The sequence below is a fragment of the Homo sapiens genome, chromosome 1, assembly GCF_000001405.40.
Source record: "Homo sapiens chromosome 1, GRCh38.p14 Primary Assembly".
NCBI lineage: Eukaryota > Metazoa > Chordata > Mammalia > Primates > Hominidae > Homo > Homo sapiens.
In genome coordinates, this window is record NC_000001.11 from 43,161,830 (window position 1) to 43,180,482 (window position 18,653).

The 18,653-nt window shown below is 42.4% G+C and overlaps 2 protein-coding genes and 1 non-coding gene across 21 annotated transcripts in view, besides 9 other annotated features; 1 reads left to right on the top strand and 2 right to left on the bottom strand.

Moving 5' to 3' along the window:
• Nucleotides 1-2,344: 2,344 nt before the first annotated feature.
• Nucleotides 2,345-10,741, bottom strand: EBNA1BP2 (EBNA1 binding protein 2). 3 transcript variants are annotated; one of them, NM_001159936.1, is made up of 10 exons: nt 10,451-10,741; nt 10,224-10,312; nt 10,057-10,140; nt 9,650-9,822; nt 8,927-9,050; nt 7,110-7,199; nt 5,331-5,406; nt 4,997-5,090; nt 2,814-2,976; nt 2,345-2,664 (listed from the first exon to the last, which is right to left on the bottom strand). In NM_001159936.1, the coding sequence occupies exons 1-10, from the start codon at nt 10,590-10,592 to the stop codon at nt 2,614-2,616; spliced, it is 1,086 nt and encodes a 361-aa protein (NP_001153408.1). In that variant the 5' UTR covers nt 10,593-10,741; the 3' UTR covers nt 2,345-2,613. The 3 variants fall into 3 exon arrangements, with proteins under 3 accessions (NP_001153408.1, XP_047297445.1, NP_006815.2); XM_047441489.1 differs by having other exon boundaries at nt 10,639-10,697; NM_006824.3 differs by having other exon boundaries at nt 2,355-2,664; nt 10,224-10,461.
• Nucleotides 9,536-10,172: an enhancer, noted in NCBI's record as "H3K27ac-H3K4me1 hESC enhancer chr1:43637036-43637672 (GRCh37/hg19 assembly coordinates)". NCBI's record gives its function as "activates a minimal SCP1, AML or CMV promoter by ChIP-STARR-seq in primed H9 embryonic stem cells {active_cell/tissue: H9 hESC(primed)}" and the evidence as "EXISTENCE:reporter gene assay evidence [ECO:0000049][PMID:30033119]".
• Nucleotides 9,536-10,227: a biological region, named in NCBI's record as "H3K27ac-H3K4me1 hESC enhancer GRCh37_chr1:43637036-43637672".
• Nucleotides 9,823-9,883, bottom strand: MIR6733 (microRNA 6733). The gene has a single exon (NR_106791.1). It is a non-coding gene; the product is annotated as a microRNA 6733 (primary transcript).
• Nucleotides 9,998-10,227: an enhancer, noted in NCBI's record as "active region_911". NCBI's record gives its function as "activates an Ori minimal core promoter by ATAC-STARR-seq in GM12878 lymphoblastoid cells {active_cell/tissue: GM12878}" and the evidence as "EXISTENCE:reporter gene assay evidence [ECO:0000049][PMID:35858748]".
• Nucleotides 10,173-10,808: an enhancer, noted in NCBI's record as "H3K27ac-H3K4me1 hESC enhancer chr1:43637673-43638308 (GRCh37/hg19 assembly coordinates)". NCBI's record gives its function as "activates a minimal SCP1, AML or CMV promoter by ChIP-STARR-seq in naive H9 embryonic stem cells {active_cell/tissue: H9 hESC(naive)}" and the evidence as "EXISTENCE:reporter gene assay evidence [ECO:0000049][PMID:30033119]".
• Nucleotides 10,173-10,927: a biological region, named in NCBI's record as "H3K27ac-H3K4me1 hESC enhancer GRCh37_chr1:43637673-43638308".
• Nucleotides 10,358-10,487: an enhancer, noted in NCBI's record as "active region_912". NCBI's record gives its function as "activates an Ori minimal core promoter by ATAC-STARR-seq in GM12878 lymphoblastoid cells {active_cell/tissue: GM12878}" and the evidence as "EXISTENCE:reporter gene assay evidence [ECO:0000049][PMID:35858748]".
• The window catches only part of CFAP57 (cilia and flagella associated protein 57), an 82,029-nt gene continuing 73,876 nt past the window's right edge, over nt 10,501-18,653 (top strand). For 7 of the 17 annotated variants that reach the window (XM_017000422.3, NM_001378189.1, XM_011540798.2 and 4 more), the window contains exons 1-2: nt 10,501-10,624; nt 10,906-11,081. In XM_017000422.3, coding sequence (XP_016855911.1) covers nt 10,925-11,081 — 157 coding nt within the window. In that variant the 5' untranslated portion in view covers nt 10,501-10,624; nt 10,906-10,924. Of the gene's footprint in view, nt 10,625-10,902; nt 11,082-14,316; nt 14,478-15,291; nt 15,383-18,653 lie in introns of those variants that run through there. The other 10 variants (NM_001195831.3, XM_011540793.1, XM_047447334.1 and 7 more) reach the window with 7 other exon arrangements.
• Nucleotides 10,568-10,617: an enhancer, noted in NCBI's record as "active region_913". NCBI's record gives its function as "activates an Ori minimal core promoter by ATAC-STARR-seq in GM12878 lymphoblastoid cells {active_cell/tissue: GM12878}" and the evidence as "EXISTENCE:reporter gene assay evidence [ECO:0000049][PMID:35858748]".
• Nucleotides 10,728-10,927: a silencer, noted in NCBI's record as "silent region_776". NCBI's record gives its function as "represses an Ori minimal core promoter by ATAC-STARR-seq in GM12878 lymphoblastoid cells {active_cell/tissue: GM12878}" and the evidence as "EXISTENCE:reporter gene assay evidence [ECO:0000049][PMID:35858748]".
• Nucleotides 15,793-16,294: an enhancer, noted in NCBI's record as "NANOG hESC enhancer chr1:43643293-43643794 (GRCh37/hg19 assembly coordinates)". NCBI's record gives its function as "activates a minimal SCP1, AML or CMV promoter by ChIP-STARR-seq in primed H9 embryonic stem cells {active_cell/tissue: H9 hESC(primed)}" and the evidence as "EXISTENCE:reporter gene assay evidence [ECO:0000049][PMID:30033119]".

The following is an 18,653-nucleotide window of genomic DNA, read 5'->3' on the forward strand; positions in this document are numbered from 1 at the left end:
ATAGAGCAAGACCCTGTCCCTACAATAAATAAATAAATAAATAAATAAATAAATAAATAAATAAATAAAAACACCTAGCCAGGCATAGTGGCATGCACTTGTAGTCCCAGCTACTTGGGAGGCTGAGGCAGGAGGATTGCTTGAGCCAAGGAGTTTGAGGATACAGTGAGCTATGATCACATCACTGTAATCCAGCATGGGCAATAGAGTGAGACCCTGTCTATACAAAAAGAAAAAGAAGGCATAATGCTACCTGCACCTTGATCACCCTTTATTTTGAGGGTTGGAATGATAGAAGTGATGTAAATGAGTTCTACAGAGGATATTTCTAAAACTAAGGAAAGTGAGTCCATATGTAAATCTTTGCTCTGTAATAAAAAAGAGAAAAAAACAAGAAGTAAAAGAGGGGGGACATAGTTTTCAAGAAAGCCTTTAGAGGTATGTTGTTATTAAAAACTTACTTTTGGCTTTATCAATGTGAAATGTTGTTAACCTGTGCTTTCTTTTGTGAAACTCTCAATATTTACTTGCATAATTCAAAGTCTCAAACTGCTTCTGAGCCTGTTACACATTATCCCCATTCAATAATATGGCATGAATTATGAAAGAGGACAGAGTAAATATTTTTGTCTTCTTGATATGACCTGTGTGACCAGTTTTGTTAGTTGAAATTAGTTTACAAAAACTAAATTCTCTTTGTTCTACATTACAATCTTAGTATTATATGAATCCAGAAATATCCTTTTCATGTGCCAATAATGCTACAAGAAAATGTGAAAATAAATTATTCTTTCTGCTAAAGATACTATATAGCTCTCAGGCATTTCTAACTTCTTTAAAAATAAAGTATGATTTCTAAACTGGAATGGAGAGAGAAGGGGCAGGTAAAATGGTTTACCACCCTATCAACACAGAGTAAAGCCCAACAATTAATGTGGCCTGCCTACTCAATGTACCACCTACGCAGAGCTTCCGCTTATGTATGAACAACCAAGGCTTGCCAGATATTAAGGAAAGAAACCCCAGCAAAACAATCCTAATCAAAGGAATATGAGAGGATTATCAGATTATCGGATTATATTAGGATAATGTTCTAAGTGTTTTACATTGATTAACCGAATACTGACAGGAACCCAATGAGGTAGATACATCTACATTATGCTAGAGATGACAAGGCAAATAAAAATTAAATTCCCTACGGTCAAACAGCAAGTAAGCAACACAGCCAGGCCCCAGAATCCACGCTTCTTAGCTTCTACAATACTCTACTGCTCAAACACGGGAAAGAGGAGATCAAAATGCATGGGCTGCAGAAACAGAATGAAGGGAACAGAGGGAAACTTTATCAAAAAAATTAAAACTATAATCATATTCTGAGAGATATAAGATACTGCATCTAGAGGATAAGAGTAAAATGATATGAAAAATGACCAAATAGAGAATAAGAAACTCTTGGGGGATAAATGAAATGAAAGCTAAACTTCATATTCAATAAAATGATTTTAGGCCGGGCATGGTGGCTCACGCCTGTAATCCCAGCACTTTGGGAGGAAGAGGCAGGTGGATCACTTGATGTCAGGAGTTTGAGACCAGCCTGGCCAACGTGGTGAAACCCTGTCTCTACTAAAAATACAAAAATTAGCTGGGTGTGGTGGCGCACGCCTGTAATCCCAGCTACTCAGGAGGCTTAGGCAGAATCACTTGAACCTGGGAAGTGGAGGTTGCAGTGAGCCAAGATTGTATCACTGCACTCCAGCCTGGGCGATGGAGTGAGACTGTGTCTCAAAAAAAAAAAAAAAAAAAAAAAAAGATTTTAAAAAACAAAAATATATCTCCCCCCAAAAGTAGAACTGAAATAAAACTTAAAAACAGTGCCTGCGAAATTCTAAAATTCTAAGGAGGAAATTCCTATCAGCCCAAATTAAAGGCAATTTCAGAAATGCAAGGAGATAAAAAGTTTACCTCTCATCTTCCCTTTCTTAGTAAGATACCAAAAAATGGTACACAGCAAAAGAAGGCATATGCTAAGATGGGAAAACATGGGATTCTGGAAATAATGGTGCCAACTTAAACGGTCTAGAAAAAAGGTGACAGTTGTGTGGCATAACTAGGTTGTAGGAGAAAAATTATAAAGTGGGTAAAATGACAAAGCATCTGGAAAGAACTAAGAATATAGAAGGAAAATTAGGCAAGCAGAAGAATGTAAGGTGAAGGTTAACTGGAGGAAAAACCAAAAGCTGTACCACAAAGAAAATCACGGTGGCTCACACCTGTAAAATATGGGCATTGAGCTTTACAGGGATTGATCGTAATATAACTATTTAGAAGGATGAGACAAAGGAAATGAGAAGGTGTCAGTTAAATCATTATTTATCATAAAATGAAGGCAATTTGAACTCAATGTCTAAATTATCAATAGATAGCAATGGAAAGTAACTTCTCAATCTTTTAGTCTAGACTATTTAACCAAAGGTATGTGTTCCTTTAATAATTTTTCTTTAGTTTATTGAAAGAAATGTTTACAACATGACACCAACAGAAGGGATCAAAGTGTGTCGTGAAATTGCGAGTCTTCATTCCTTTTTCTTGGTTCTTTGTATTCAAAGATGCTATTTAGTGTGTTCTGTTCTTCATCTTCTCTCTTGTTCGTTTTCCAGGTCTCTTCTACAGAAAAAGACATACCACATCTGGTCACATAGCAGCTTGCCTTCTGCCCCAGGGTGAGGACGAACAGAACTGAAGGGAGAGGGCAGGGTTGGGAGTGGGAGGGGAGGCTGAGCCTGCTCCTCACCCGGGCACCTGGGCTCACTTACATTTGACCCTTTCTTGCCAGGCCTCTTGAGGCCTCTGCCATGAGCTGTCTTGGCCCGGAAGCTAGATACATCATCATAGCTCTCCCGAGTGTTCCACTTTGAGCCTTTCTTCTTTCCACCAAAACCAAACTTCTGGTTTTTATACCGTCGTTTAGCACTGGGCCTGGAAAAGAATGGTCCTAGACATCACTACAGCACTGTAAAGCCTGATGAACCTGATGGCCCAGCAATGCTCTCAGTTTCCTTTCTATAAGCAAAGCCCCTTAGGCACGTCTGTAACCCAGAATCTCATCCTTGGCCCCACAATCCTATGCTACAGCCTCTCTAGACAAACTCATCTAGCTCACCTATTTACAGTTTTGACCACCAGGGCAGGAAAATAAAGCAAGAAGCAGGGAAGGCTCTACATATATTACATGGCTTCCTGCTGTCTTTAGAAAGCTTTCTATTTTAACCAAATCTTATTAAATCACCCTCAGTTGTGTCTATTCCTCTCAAGGGTAAATACATGCAGTTAACATCCAAATGTAATATGTTACATTTGTAACATTCAAATGTAATGTAATGAATACGTTCAAATGTAAACATTCAAATGTAATTATAGGCATTCAAATAACATTCAAATGGAATAACATTCAAATGTAAAACTGGTCATCCAATAGGAATCTTGAATTCAGCATCTCCAAATTCACATCATCTCCTGGACTGGCTCTGCTTCCTGTACATATGCCCTCACTTGAGGCTGGCGCTGCTCCCACCAACCCAGACACACAGGCTAAACATGTGGGAGTCAGCCTTGGTTCTTCTCTCACTCTTTATACCCAATTCAATTACTGAGTCCTGCTCATTTCACCTCTTAAATGTTTCTTCAATCCTTATCTCGACTTTTGCAATAGTACCCTTGTCAATTTCCCAGCTTCCCTCAAGTCTGTCACTTATACAAAATCCACTGTGATCTTTTTAAAAACATGAATATAACCTGCTCATTACTGTTAGTACAACCTACAACCTAGTCTCTCCACTGCCTTCTGACAAAGCCCAAGCTCCTCAACAAGGCAAACCCACAGCCCAGGTCCCCCCAAACACATTGCACCCCTCCTTGCTTTGCACTGTATTCCCAGTGACACCAAGGGCTTACTGTTCCTCACAAAACCCTGAGGTTTCACATCTCGATGGCTTTGCTCGTTCAAGCTCTTACTTCTTCCCAAACCCAGCTTCTCTTCTATTCTCGTGGTTAATTCCTACTCATGCTTCAAGCAATGCTCAAGTCGAACGCTCCTCCAGAAATCCACCCCAGACCCTGTCAGGTATTTATAAAAGCTGACTCAGTACTAATCCCCAAATGCCTCTATCATAGCACTTACTATCTTACATGGAAATTATCATTTCCCCTAGGCCTGGTATCCAGGTATGCAAAAAAGCAGACTAGAAAAAACAATGAGAGCCCACATTCTCTCTTTCAGTCTTCATACTATGAGGCAGACACTATTTCCTCAACTTAGCAGATGAGGCAATTAGCATTTAGAAAGGCATGGTAACTCGTTCAAAACTGCCCTCCTACTGAGTGGTAGAGTCGGGATCTGAACCCTAGGTCTGAACTCTCAACCATCGCACTGTGTGATGGGGAATCAACTTTACTCAGCATTCACTTAAAGGGTGCCACATACTTAAAAGTACCTTCTTAGGATGGGTGCAGTGGTTCACACCTATAATCCCAGCACTTTGGGAGGCTGAGGTGAGTGAATCACTTGAGGCCAGGAGTTCACAACCAGCCTGGCCAACATGGTGAAACCCTGTCTCTACTACAAATACAAAAATTAGCTGGGTGTGATGGCAGGCACCTGTAGTTCCAGCTACTCAGGAGGCTGAGGCACAGAATTACTTGAGCCCAGGTGGCAGAGGTTGCAGTGAGCCAAGACTGTACCAGTGCACTGTAGCCTGAGTGACAGAATGAGACTGTCCAAAAAAAAAAGAAGTTTAAAAAGTGCCTTCTTTTACTCTTCAAAGACTGACATGGCTAAAAGGGCCCATCACACAGTCATAGGGGTCCTGGCCCCAGGCAGCAGCTGCACTCTCTGGACTCTATGGCTGCGCCGGTGGAGGTGCTATGTCTGCCATACTCGTGACCTGTGGCCCCATCGCACCTCACAGAACCAAAGAAACCATGCCAAAACCCTTCTCACCCCTTCCTCATCTGCTGGCCTTTGGCTCCTGCCTTCTTGCGCTGTGCCAGAGGTTTCTGATCTCCCTCAAGGAAATCCAGTTTATCAGAGAAGCCTGTAAGTGAAGAAGTAGTTTTGATCAGCACCATTGTATTTTAAGAATAAAAGTTTAAACCACCATATGAGGCTGTTATTTGCTACACTGATTTTAAGAGTCACATCCTGCTCTCCAACACCATTCCCAAAACTTTGATCCGACAGGTCCACATCAACCAAGAAGGCTCCAAAGCACTAAGTGTTCAAATCAACTCTAAAGTACCTGCTACCCTCGTTCCCCTATTAGAGATGTACCAACCTTTCTGATATTTCTTAATAGCATTCATCATATGGGCTTTCTCCTGCTGCCTCTTCTGAAGAACCTCCGTTTGCACCTGTGATATGAACACAAGGACCGTTACAGCCATTCCATACCATTACTCCAGTGTCTACATTGTCTTAATAGCAACACCATGATTAATACCACTACCCTCTGACATTTACTACGTGCCAAAAACTGTGTTAGGGACTCTAAGTATATTCTCAGATCTAGGTATATTCTTCATAGATGAAGATATATCTGTCTCATAACAATCCAGTGAAGTTGAAATTTGTGTTATCCCCTAAACTGAAGCACAGGGAAGTTAACTTGCCCAAGTCGCACAGTGAAAAAATGCACAGCCAAGATGACCCAGGCTGTTTGACTCCAAAGCCAGCACTCACCCTATTATACAATCCTGCCTACAAAACTGAAGTAAATCATGTTTAAGACTACATCGATTTTTCGCATCACATTTGGACAGATTAATTATCTAACTCACTGTTACTAGGCATGAAAGTACCAAAAGGAAGAGAAAAAAACAATGTCCCCAGGTAAAGAAAAGAAAAAAGTTTGAAGGATAAAAGGAGACACTTTATAATACTCTAACAGAGGGTTTCTCAATCTTGATACTGCTACAGTGTGGAGAGAATAATTCTTTGCTGGGGGGTAGGGGCCTGTCCTACACTGTAGGATATTTAGCGGCACCCCTGCCCTCTACCTACTAGATGCCAGTAGTACCCTCCCTCCCAAATTTGACAACTAAAAATATCTCCAGGCAGTCACAGAAAACTCTTGGGGAGCAAATTCACCCCCAGTTAACAAACTCTTCCCCAGTGTTTCCTTAAATTAGGAACAGTGAACTAATAGGCCCAAGTGAGTTTGTCTTTGCTTTTGGTAACTTTGGCTATGTTAAATTAATTACTGGTGTCTTTGAGAGAATCTCAGCCATCCACCTCCAGATCAAAGAAATAATAAATCCGCAGCAGGCCTTTTGTAGAGGACAGGATCCCAGCCTATTCCTACTTTGCTGAGAATGTATCAGTGAAATGACTCCAAACGTGGACAAGAGTTCTGCAGCCCAGATCACAAGTGCTTATGTCCAAATGTTGACGAAGTCTTAACACCCACACCAATCTTCCTCACATTCATTTCTTCCCACAATCCTAACTTTAAAATCTGTCATCTTCTTTCTTAGATGACCATGAAATAAAAAAGGAAAACCAAGAAAAGTTTTAGGGTATGCCTGATCTGGTGTTACATTAGAACTCAGACATTCATAGTTCAAACACGCAGGCAATCTTTCAGATTGGATGACAATCATTATGATAATTTCTTCAGGTACGTGATTATCACATAGATCAGTGAATCCCAAACCAGGATGCATTTCAGAATCACCTGGAAAGCTTTTGGGGAAGAGGGGAAAACAGGCACAGATTCCTGGGGATTCTGAAGTCTAGAATTCTGTTTTGAAAAATTTCCCCTGGTGATTTTGCTATAAGGTCAGGTTTGGAAACCACTCATCTGGACCCAGTGTACAGATGTGAAAACTAACGCCCAGAGAGGTGATTGGCTCACCTGCAGTCACCATACTACTCCTGGGGAACCACTCATGTCCAGGCAAGATTGTGCTCATGAATACCAGCACATACACTGAGAGACGGTAAATACATGATCAACACACAGTTCCGTTCAGTTCAGGGGACCAAGTCAGACCACGGCAATCTCATCTAACACACACTCCGCCTCTTCCTGTTCCCTGCACACTTTTCTTCTCACCTTCTTCCCGTATTTCCTAAGTGCTCGCAGTTGCTTAGCTTTTTCAGACCTCTCCATGGCAGCCTGTTTAGTCTGCAGCTTCTGTCGAATCTACAACACAAAATGCTGTCAGTTCATGTCATTTGAATCTGGAATGACCACTACTTAGGATTCGCTAGAGCAGGGAACAGATATTCCCTGTTCTTTAAACTGCGGAACTTATAAATCATCAGTTCCAACCCCTGAGGACAATGGGGCCCACAGGCTGAGCACTTTACCAAAAGTGCCAGAGTGAAGCCAGAGATTGAAAGTCACCTTCCCGCTCCCAGTGTGCTGTCTGTTTCATTATACAAACTGCCTATTTGTAGCCCAGGAAAGAAGACAAACTTCTCCCCATTTCTACTGTCAGTAGACTGAGGCTGGAAACCAGTATGCGGCCTCAGTGTCCTTTTCTAGTATACCACATACACAATAAAAACCCAGGCAGATACCAGGTGCCTAGCCTTTTCAGTCAAACATACACATTTTAGTTAAAGGATGAGAAGTTGTCAGTGAGAATTTGTACAGAGTTCACAGTAAGAAGGTGAACTACTACCACGACAAAAGCTCCCTAAAATCCAGCTTGAGACCCCAGGGTACTATTTAAATATACTTATCCCTCAGTATCCATAGAGGATTAGTTCTAGGACCCACTACAGATATCAAAATCCACAGATGCTCAAGTCCTTTATATAAAAATGGTGCAGCATTTGCATATAACCTACACTCGCCTCCAGTATCCTTTAAAGTCAGAGGACCTCAACTCCCAGGCCACAGACCGCTACGAACCCACTATGAATCTGTGGCCTGTTAGGAACCAGGCCGCACAGCAGAAAGTGAGTGACAGGCAAGCAAGCATTACCACCTGAGCTCCACCTCCTGTCAGATTGGTGGTGGCGTTAAATTCTCATAGGAGTGCGAACTCTACTGTGAACTATGCATGGAACTATGCATGCAAAGGATCTAGGTTGCCTGCTCCTTATGAGAATCTAATGCCTGATGATCTGAGATGGAACGGTTTCATCCCAAAACTATCCCCTCCCCAAGTTCATGAAAAAATTGTCATCCACGAAACTAGTCTCTAGTGCCAGACCGCTTCTTTAAATAGTCTCTAGATTACTTATAATACCGAATACAATGCTATGCATCACCTCATTCTCATGGATTCAATGTAGTTCTCGGCACACGGAAAATTCAGTTTTCCTTTTGCAATATTTTCAAATTTTTTTCCCCAATATTTTTGATCCAAGGTTGGTTGAATCCACAGATGCTGAACCCATGGCTATGGAGGGCTGAATGTATGTTGGATTACATGCTGGCAATCCCTTCTTCCAAAGTTAAATGAGGTCCAAGTTCTACCCAACTCTAAATTGTACTATATCTGAACCATCTAAGAATCCCTCATTTTACAGAGGAGAAAACTGAGGCCCAGAGAAAAGTAATTGTCTACAAGTTCTAGCACTGACAGTGGCAAGGGCACAAGAATGCTGTCCTCTCTGCACACCATGTCATGACCATGCCAGCTAGGAAATGCACTGGGCCATCTTCACCTCGGGGACCACACTTCACACAGCACTGTTCCTCTCCTTAATTGCTGATTTTAGAAAAAATGTCATTTTTATATGCATCTAATTGGTGGTAACTGGCATGACTCTGAAGTAGCCAATCTATGGAAGAGGTAATAATTGTCCTCTGACAACTGGCTCCCCGTTATTGGGCTCATAGCTATCTTTCTAAGCCAGCTGAATATGCTTAAGTACAAAGTTTTGACTTTCCAGAGGAAAACTTCTATTTCTTACCTTCTGCATCTGCAGATCAGATTTGGCCATTTCCGCAAAATAATCAGTGGGTCGCTTCGTAGGGACTTTGAGCTGATGGAGGCGGGGTAAGACTGCAAGCACTGCGGCCTGGGCTTGGCGATAGCTGAGAATCGTAGGACAAAATGTGTAATGAGGTGAAGGAGGAGGCCTTACGTTCCTTTTCACCGCCAATCATGAGTTATCCAAGCTCAGAAGGACTCTCAAAATCTGACCTCCATTAGCAAGAACAAACAAACAAAAACTGTCTCACTGATTTAGTATCTAAAAGAAATGTAGCCGTATACTAGTTTTTAAAAAGGGGAGGGGTGTTGCTAAAAATAGTTTAAGAGAATGACTACTCTAAAGGTACCCATTAACACAAACGAATGTCGATTATGGATTCTTATGTAATTACTAAAGCAATTCCACACAAGAACATCCCATAAGCAATGTTTGTTTGTTTGTTTTCCTAATAACTGAAGCATGCACAAAAAGTTTTAACATGAATATTTCAAATTAGCCCATAAAGTGGATTTTGGATCGTGACCGTGGACCAAAGAGCTCTTCTCTCAAACAGGAAGAATCTCCTAGCTATTCTTAGTCAAAAGAAGCCGCTCTCTCTACTCCTAGGCTTATTCTGAGTGCAGACTTACTAATTTCCCCTCTTTCCCACTCTCCTGCACAAGGATCCTCAACTTCTCCAACATTTGAAAACAAACATACAAACTCATCTCTCGCTGGAAGTCGTCTTCTGGATCAACAGCTTTCTGGTCCTTGTTCTGAGGTGCTGGCGCCTCAGATCCACCGATCTCCGGTACCGGACCCAGTGTCACATCGAGCCTTTCAACCCATTCCAGATCCCGCTTGAATTCTGCCAAACATTGCTTCAGGCCATTCTAGGAAATCCAGACACTGAGCTCACAAGAAGGGAACTCTGAGTTTGTCTTTCCCAAGCACAGGCTGTTAGGCGAAGGGACAAAGTGCTAATCCCCAATACCCAGACAGGTAATTGACCCTCTTGGCGAGGCGCAGGGTGCATCTTTCCTGGGACAAGAATCGGTCTCCCAAGCCCAACAGCGCCTGAAGCGCATCCCATGTCCGAGTACCCCCGACCCTGTGCCCACGCTCACCACGTCGTTCACGGCCTTCTTCGGCCCCTCTAGCACGACATTGAGGCCTGGCTTCAGAAGCCCTCGGGAAAACGCATCCTGCAACTGCAGGACACAATCACGGTCACTCCCAGGGGTGTAAGGCCCCCTCTCCCACGCCCAGCCCCACGAGCTCGGCTGACACCTACCTCTCTGTCTGTGACAAGGGATTCATCGGATTCCGACTCCGAATCCGAGAGCGGGGGAGTGTCCATCTCGCCGCACGCACGTCCCACACCTACAGGAAGAAACGGGGTATCCCGAGACCCAAGCGGCTAGCAGAGGGCGGCCCTGGCCGCTGCTGCCTGCCTTCAGCCCCCTACTCCCACGCCGTGGCTCCACGTGCCACCGAATCGCTCCAGCGCCAGCAACTCACAGCTACTGCTCAACTTTTGATTGGGACTTCCGCTTCCGGCGGCAAACCATACTTCCGGTTTGTCGTTGCTATAGGAACCGCTACGGCGTTTGAAAGTGTCCGGGTTGCTTAGGATCCCTACAGGTAGCGCCTCTGGATACATGCGTGGTCTGCTGACCCAGAGAGAAACGAAAGGTGGGAGGGGGTACCTGGGGGTCGCCAGAAGGAGCTGGTAGCAGTGAGGGTACAAAGGAAAAGGCAGAAAAAGGAGCCGCGGGGGTGGGGTGGCGCGGAGGAGGACCCCGGGGGAGGGGAAAGGGGAGGGACAAGGGGAGGGGAAAGGGGAGGGACAAGGGGAGGAGAAAGGGGAGAGACAAGGGGAGGAGCAAAGGGCGGGGAGGGCGAGTCCGGGCCGGGGGCGGGGTCGGAGCGGGGCGGTGCTCTCCACTCTGAAGCGCTGCCTTGGTCTTCAGCAGAACTGTTTGGCGGGAGATCATGTCAGCCGTGGTAGCTCAGACGCTGCATGTTTTTGGTCTTCGATCCCACGTGGCCAACAATATCTTCTACTTCGATGAACAGATCATTATATTTCCTTCAGGAAATCACTGTGTGAAGTACAATGTGGATCAGAAATGGCAAAAATTCATTCCAGGTAAAACTTTTTCCATCCTGACATATACAGGAATGGTATGTGCCACATATAACCCCATAATCCCAGCATGATGATTGGAAAGAAAGATTTTGGCCAATTTGAATATATATGCAGTATTATAAATGTAGAGGAAATAAATGGCGACTTGTATTATGAAACTAGATTAATCAGTCACGCATATGTAGTTAAAATCACATATAAAATGTTAATTTAAAAGTACTTTTTTCACTGTAATTTCATGAAAATATGTTAAGAACCCCTCTTTTGGTGTCTTCAATATCACTGCCTTTGTCATCACCAGAGCCACTTTTTGAGTTGTCTAACAGTTTTCCTGAGCACACCACCTTCATTATATCACCGTTTGAATCCAAGTATGATGAAGACACTGTAAACTTTATCCCAAGTCGCAAATAACCATTTGTATAGCATTACAGCCCTTATTTTTGTTCACAGTGGTCCTGTTAATGATATTCATTATTTCAACAACCGAATCCATTTTCCCATTCTTTGTTGCATTGACACCTTTTATTGTGACATATACATACAAAAGAATGTACCCTACATATATGTCATATTTAAAGAATTACAATAGAATGTAGATCTGTGAACCCAGCCACCCAGCATAGGAAACAGAATATTACCAGTTCTAGTGCTTCTCCCTGTATTCTGTGTCTTGCTGCATCAGTTCAATGTCATGCTTTTGAGATTCACACATCTCGATACATATAGCCAAGTTCATTTTATTGCTATGTAGTGTTCCATCATATGAATATAATGTCTCAAATATATGTATTCACTCTAATATTGAGGGACATTTGGGAAATAACAATCATTTGCTATTACAAACTATACTACTATAAACATTCTTGCATGCATATACATTCATCTATTTGTGCAGATTCTCTAGGGCACACAGCCAGGACTAAAATTACTGAGCAATATGATAGTACCAATTTACACTCCCACTAGAAGTGCATAAGAGTTCTTATTCCTCAGCAACCCTGCCAACCCTTGGTATTGTCCAACTTCGTAATTTTTTGCTAACCCAATGGTTGAGAAAAGGAATTGTGGTTTTCGTTTGCATTTTGCTATCATTAATGATGATGAGTATCTGTTTATGGGCTATTCCTATTTAGTCGTATGTTAAATGCCTTGTTCAAGTCTTTTACTTGTTTTTTACAGTTTGTTGTGCAGGATATTTTTGGGCAATTTTATTGATTTACATGCACAATTTATATATTCTGTATATCAATAATTTGTCAGATATATATATATGTCTTGCAAATAATTTCTTTCAGTTTGGGGCATTTTTCTCCCATCTTACAAGTATCTTTTGATGGACAAAAATTATTAGTTTTAATAAAGTCAAATTTATCAACCACATAATATTCTGTTGGAATAAGCTGTATTAAATACAGTTGACTTTAATTTATTGATGTTTATTTCCAGCATATTTGCTAAATTATTATTAATTCTAATGATTTGTCTATAGATTATGCAGAGACTTCTACATAGACTATCATGTTATCTACAAATAACGATGACTTTCTTCCTTTTTCTTGTGTTACCTGTGCTGGTAAGCACCTCCAGACAGTGTTGATTAGGGGCAATAAAAATGGACATCTGGCCAGGTGTGGTGGCTCATGCCTGTAATTCCAGCACTTTGGGAGGCCAAGGTGGGCAGATCACGAGGTCAAGAGATCAAGACCATCCTCGCCAACATAGTGAAACCCCGTCTCTACTAAAAATACAAAAATCAGCTGGGCGTGGTGGCACGTGCCTGTAGTCCCAGCTACTCGGGAGGCTGAAGCAGGAGAATTGCTTGAACCCGGGAGGCAGAGGTTGTGGTGAGCCAAGATCGCACCACTGCACTCCAGCCTGGGAAACCAAGCCAGACCCTGTCTCAAAAACAAAAATAAAAAAGATCATATGACTTTCCAATATAAATTAAATTATGGTTTTCTACAGACAACATTAATTTATATTTGCTCTCATACTTACCAAACTTTTTCCCACCATTACTCTTTACAAATCAGATATTCCAGCTGGGATCATTTTCCTTCTGCATTTACTGATAATGTATTAATAAATTCTCCCAGTTTTTGTCTGAAAATGACTTTATTTTATCCTCATTTCTGAAAGATAGTTTCAACAGGTGTGAAATTTTTATCAGCATATTATAGATCATATTCCATTGTGTTTTTTTGGCTTCTCTTTTGTTGCTGTGGTTAAGAAATTAGCTATCAGCATCGTCTTTCTGTAGATGATCTTTTTTTCTGGATGTTTAATATCTTCTCTGTCTATGGTGTGTGTGTGTATGTATCTATACACATACACCATATACATATATACGTATAAAATACACACCATATATACACACACCATATACTATATGTACATGTATATATACATAGTATATATACATACATATAGATACAGACACACACATCAGTATAGTTTTTATTTTCATTTTTTATCCTCCTAGGGATTATTTGAGATTCCTGGATCTAAGGACAGGTATCTTTTTTGTTCTGTTATCTCCTTCTGGAACTCCAAACCATCTCAACTCCATCCTTCCAGTTTTTTATTTTATTTTATTTTATTTATTTATTTTTTAAGAAACCAGGTCTCACTCTGTTGCCCAGGCTGGAGTGCACTGGCACAATCATAGCTCACAGCAGTCTCAAACTCCTGGGCTCAAGCCATCCTCCCCACCTTAACCTCCTGAATAGCTGGGAATACAGGCATGCACCACCTTGACCAGCTAATTGTTTTTATGGAGATGGGGTCTGGCTATGTTGCTGAGGCTGGTCTTGAACTCCTGAACTCAACTCATCCTCCCACCTCAGCCTCCCAAGTAGCTGGGATTACAGGTGCAAGCCACCACACCTGACGTTCATGTTTTTGGGTTTTTTTTTTTTTGAACTCTTATTTGGATTTTTTATACCTTACTCTCTCTGTGTTGCATTCTAGATAATTACTTTAGATGTATCTCGTAGTTCATTGCTTCTCTTTTCTGCTGCATCTAACTTAATGTTTAATGTATCCATTGAGATTTTACTTTCAGTTATTGTGCTCATATTCTTACACTTCTTACTGTATCACTTCTCTTCTGCTCCTAACTCCATCTTATATCACCAGGGGCCTTGTACACATGTGGGTGGATCCTTGCAGCCCATATGTTCAAATTCTACCCATATATTCTATAAGCAACCACCCTGTGCCCATCCTTCAGGCCCAGGTTGAGTAGAGACAGCCTGGGAAGAAACCCCCAATGTTGGTCTTGTCAGCAGGCTCAAGACTATCTGAGCAGGGAACTCCAGAGTCCTGGGTACCTGCAACGTGATCTAGAAGAGGCAGGACAAACTCCAGGCAGCCACTGTATCCCACTTAATGGTAAGGGGTACAGCCAGAGAAAGACTCCGGGATGCTCTAAAATTTGAGGCCCAAGGGAGGATCTCCACTGACCAAGTCTAAGGGTATTACCGGTGAAGGGAAAAATATAAAGGTCATGACATTGGGAGACCTGGCTTTGATCTGGCTCCCCATTTTATAGGCTCACAGAGCCTCAGTCTCCTCATCTGTAAGATGCAGATGATGCTCAGCTTGTTCAGCTCAGAGTCATGATGAGGCTCAACATATTCATTTGTTCACTCAACAAAAATGTATTAAGTACCCCCTGTGTTCCAGGCACAAAATAGACACGCACATATGCACATAAAATGCTGTCCTCACAGTGCTTCCATTCTAAGAGGGGAGAGTGACAAACAAAATAAAAAGAAGTACAGTCTACATGCTAGATAGTGATAGATGCTAATAAGAACAAACAAAGCATGGAAAGTGAAGCCGTTGGGGGAGTAAGAAGTTGTAGATAGGGAGGCTGGGGAGGGCTCACTGAGCAGTGATTTTTGAGTGAAGACTGAAGGAAAGGAAGGAGCTGGCTGTGCTGATGTGGGAGGGCAGGGGGAGTAGCCGAGAGACTAGCAAAGGCTCAGAGTTAGGAGGGTGCTTATTGTGTTGGAGGAATAGCTGGGAGGCCAGTGTGGCTGGAGTGGTAAGAACCGGGGGGTGAGGAGCAAGAGGGGAGGCAAAGAAAGAATGGGGAGCAACACCACAGAGGGGCTTGCAGTTCATGAGCTCTTACTCAGAGTCAAATGAGAAGCCATAAAGGGGTGCGTTCTGAGTGGCAACATGATCTGTGTTTCCTCAGGTTCATTCTGGCTGCTGTACAGAGGACAGATTTAAGGAGGAGAAAGAAAGGAAGCAGGGAGAACAGCTGAGGGATGATTGCTGTAATTCAGGTGAGAGATAATGGCACTTGGAGCAGGTAGAGGCAGGCGACAGGGTGGTGTGAAGAGATCAATAATGGATATGCTTTGACAGATTTCTTCATAGACACCATGTGGGGTGGAAGCAGGAAGAAGCAAGGTTTTGGGCCTGAGCATGGAAAGCATGGAGTTGCTGTTGATTGTGATAGAAAGGGCTAAAGAAGGAGCAGGTTGGTTTTGGACCTGTTAAGATTGATGTGCCTGCTAGATATTTTCATGGAGATGCTCAGTAAGCAGGTTGATTTCAGGTCTGGATTTAAGGGAGGGAAGTCCAGGCTAGGAAAGGAATTTGAGGGTCATCAGCCTAGAGGTGAAATGTAAAGCCCTTAGAGTAGATGAGACTTCCCTAGGGCAGTGGTCCCCAACCTTTCTGGCATCGGGGTAGGTTTCATGAAAAACAGTTTTTCCATGGACAGGATGGAGAGGGTATGGGGGATGGTTTCAGGATGAAACTGTTCTGCCCCAGATCATCAGGCATTAGTTAAGATTCTCACAGAGAGCACACAATCTAGATCCCTCGCATGCACAGTTCACAACAGGGTTTGTGCTGCTATGAGAATCTAATGCCGCCACTGATCTGAGCTCAGGCGGTAATGCTTGCTCACCTCCTGCTGTGTAGCCCAGCACCGTGGGTTGGGGACCCCTGCCCTAGGGCATGAATATATTTACAAAAGAGAAGCAGCTGAAAGAGTGAGCTCTGAGCACTCCTGCATTTAGTGCTGGGGAAATGGGGAAGAATCAGCAAAAGAGGCTTTGGAGGAGTGGCCAAAAAGATCACAGGATATCTATGTGAGAGGTGAAGGATTCCCTATTTAATAAATGGTGCTGGGAAAACTGGCTAGCCATATGTAGAAAGCTGAAACCGGATCCCTTCCTTACACCTTATACAAAAATTAATTCAAGATGGATTAAAGACTTAAGTGTTAGACCTGAAACCATAAAAACCCTAGAAGAAAACCTAGGCAATACCATTCAGGATATAGGCATGGGCAAGGACTTCATGTCTGAAACACCAAAAGCAATGGCGACAAAAGCCAAAATTGACAAATGGGATCTAATTAAACTAAAGAGCTTCTGCACAGCAAAAGAAACTACCATTAGAGTGAACAGGCAACCTACAGAATGGGAGAAAATTTTTGCAATCTACTCATCTGACAAAGGGCTAATATCCAGAATCTACAAAGAACTTAAACAAATTTACAAGAAAAAAACAACCCCATCAAAAAGTGGGCAAAGGATATGAACAGACACTTCTCAAAAGAAGACATTTATGCAGCCAACCGACACATGAAAAAATGCTCATCATTACTGGCCATCAGAGAAATGCAAATCAAAACCACAATGAGATACCATCTCACACCAGTTAGAATGGCGATCATTAAAAAGTCAGGAAACAACAGGTACTGGAGAGAATGTAGAGAAATAAGAACACTTTTACATTGTTGGTGGGACTGTAAACTAGTTCAAGCATTGTGGAAGACAGTGTGGTGATTCCTCAGGGATCTAGAACTAGAAATACCATTTGACCCAGCCATGCCATTACATGGTATATACCCAAAGGATTATAAATCATGCTGCTATAAAGACACATGCACACGTATGTTTATTGTGGCACTGTTCACAATAGCAAAGACTTGGAACCAACCCAAATGTCCATCAACGATAGACTGGATTAAGAAAATGTGGCACATATACACCATGGAATACTATGCAGCCATAAAAAAGGATGAGTTCATGCCCTTTATAGGGATACAGATGAAGCTGGAAACCATCATTCTGAGCAAACTGTCGCAAGGACAAAAAACCAAACACCGCATGTTCTCACTCATAGGTGAGAATTGAACAATGAGAACACTTGGACACAGGAAAGGGAACATCACACACCGGGGCCTGTTGTGGGGTGCGGGGAGGGGGAGGGATAGCATTAGGAGATATACCTAATGTAAATGACTAGTTAATGGGTGCAGCACACCAACATGGCACATGTATACATATGTAACAAACCTGTACATTGTGCACATGTACCCTAGAACTTAAAGTATAATAATAATAATAAAAGGATATCTATGTGAGAGGCGAAAATGTTTTAAGGAGGAGAGGCGAGGCATCAGCTGGGTCGAAACAATGCAAAAGCATTTTACAAACTCTAAAACCAGTCAACATATATCAAGAACATACTAAGTTCCAGACACTGGTGATTGAATGAATGAATGAATGAGCAAGAATGGCCTCTGCCCTCCAGGAGCTCTCAGTATTGTAGTGGAGGCAGGTTGTGTAATTCAAATGAGTAGGACTGTGCAAATGAGCTGGACAGATGCTATACCAGGTAGGAACCTGGCACAAAAGCACAATAGGAGGGAGTGAGCAGTGTTCCTTTGCCTCATCTAGGCTATTACATACTCCTAGTTTTAACTTTCCCTTATGCTTTTTACCTCAAATCTGTATTTTCAGCCTCAACCCCTCCCGCCAGCTTTAGAACCATGTCCACCTGCTGGACCTCCGTACCCAACTGTTCCACAGAGTGTACCTCACACACAATATATCTGAGATTGAGTTTATCTTTTCCTTTCTTCTCCCTCTCTTTGGGAAATGCAATCAGGGTCACATTATTGTTTTCGAGGGCTCTAGGTACTTTTGATTTCATGGCCCCCTCCTTCATTAAAAAATGTTTAAAAATATATTTATAGGCCAGGCGTGGTGGCTCATGCCTGTAATCCCAACACTCTGGGAGGCCGAGGTGGGCGGATCACCTGAAGTTGGGAGTTCGAGACCAGCCTGACCAACATGGAGAAACCCTGTCTCTACTAAAAATACAAAATTAGCCAGGCATGGTGGCACATGCCTGTAATCCCTGCTACTCGGGAGGCTGAGGCAGGAGAATCACCTGAACCTGGGAGGTGGTGGTTGTGGTGAGCCGAGATTGAGCCATTGCACTCCAGCCTGGGCGACAAGAGTGAAACTCTATCTCAAAAAATATATATATTTTATATATATATATATAAAATATATATACACACATATATTATTTAAAAATATATGCAGTAATATACTTTATGACTGTATTGGTATAAAGAGGAATATAATCTAGGCTGGATTCACCATTATATATTCATGTTTTTTCTGATTTTCAAATAAATACTAAAACATTTTCCTAGGTCCTCAAAAGTATTGTGGGTCCTGGGCACTGTGTCTAGTGGATAAGTGGATGGTGGATACAGGCCCAGGGCAGGGAGCGTGAGTGAGG

Coding starts and splice junctions, on each gene's coding strand:
- EBNA1BP2 (NM_001159936.1), bottom strand. CDS start 10,592: ATGTATCCAGAGGCGCTACCTGTAGGGATCCTAAGCAACCCGGACACT. Junction 9,823..10,056: donor AGAAGGCCGTGAACGACGTG/GTGAGCGTGGGC, acceptor TGGATTTCCTAG/AATGGCCTGAAGCAATGTTT. Junction 9,051..9,649: donor TTCCAGCGAGAGATGAGTTT/GTATGTTTGTTT, acceptor TACGATTCTCAG/CTATCGCCAAGCCCAGGCCG.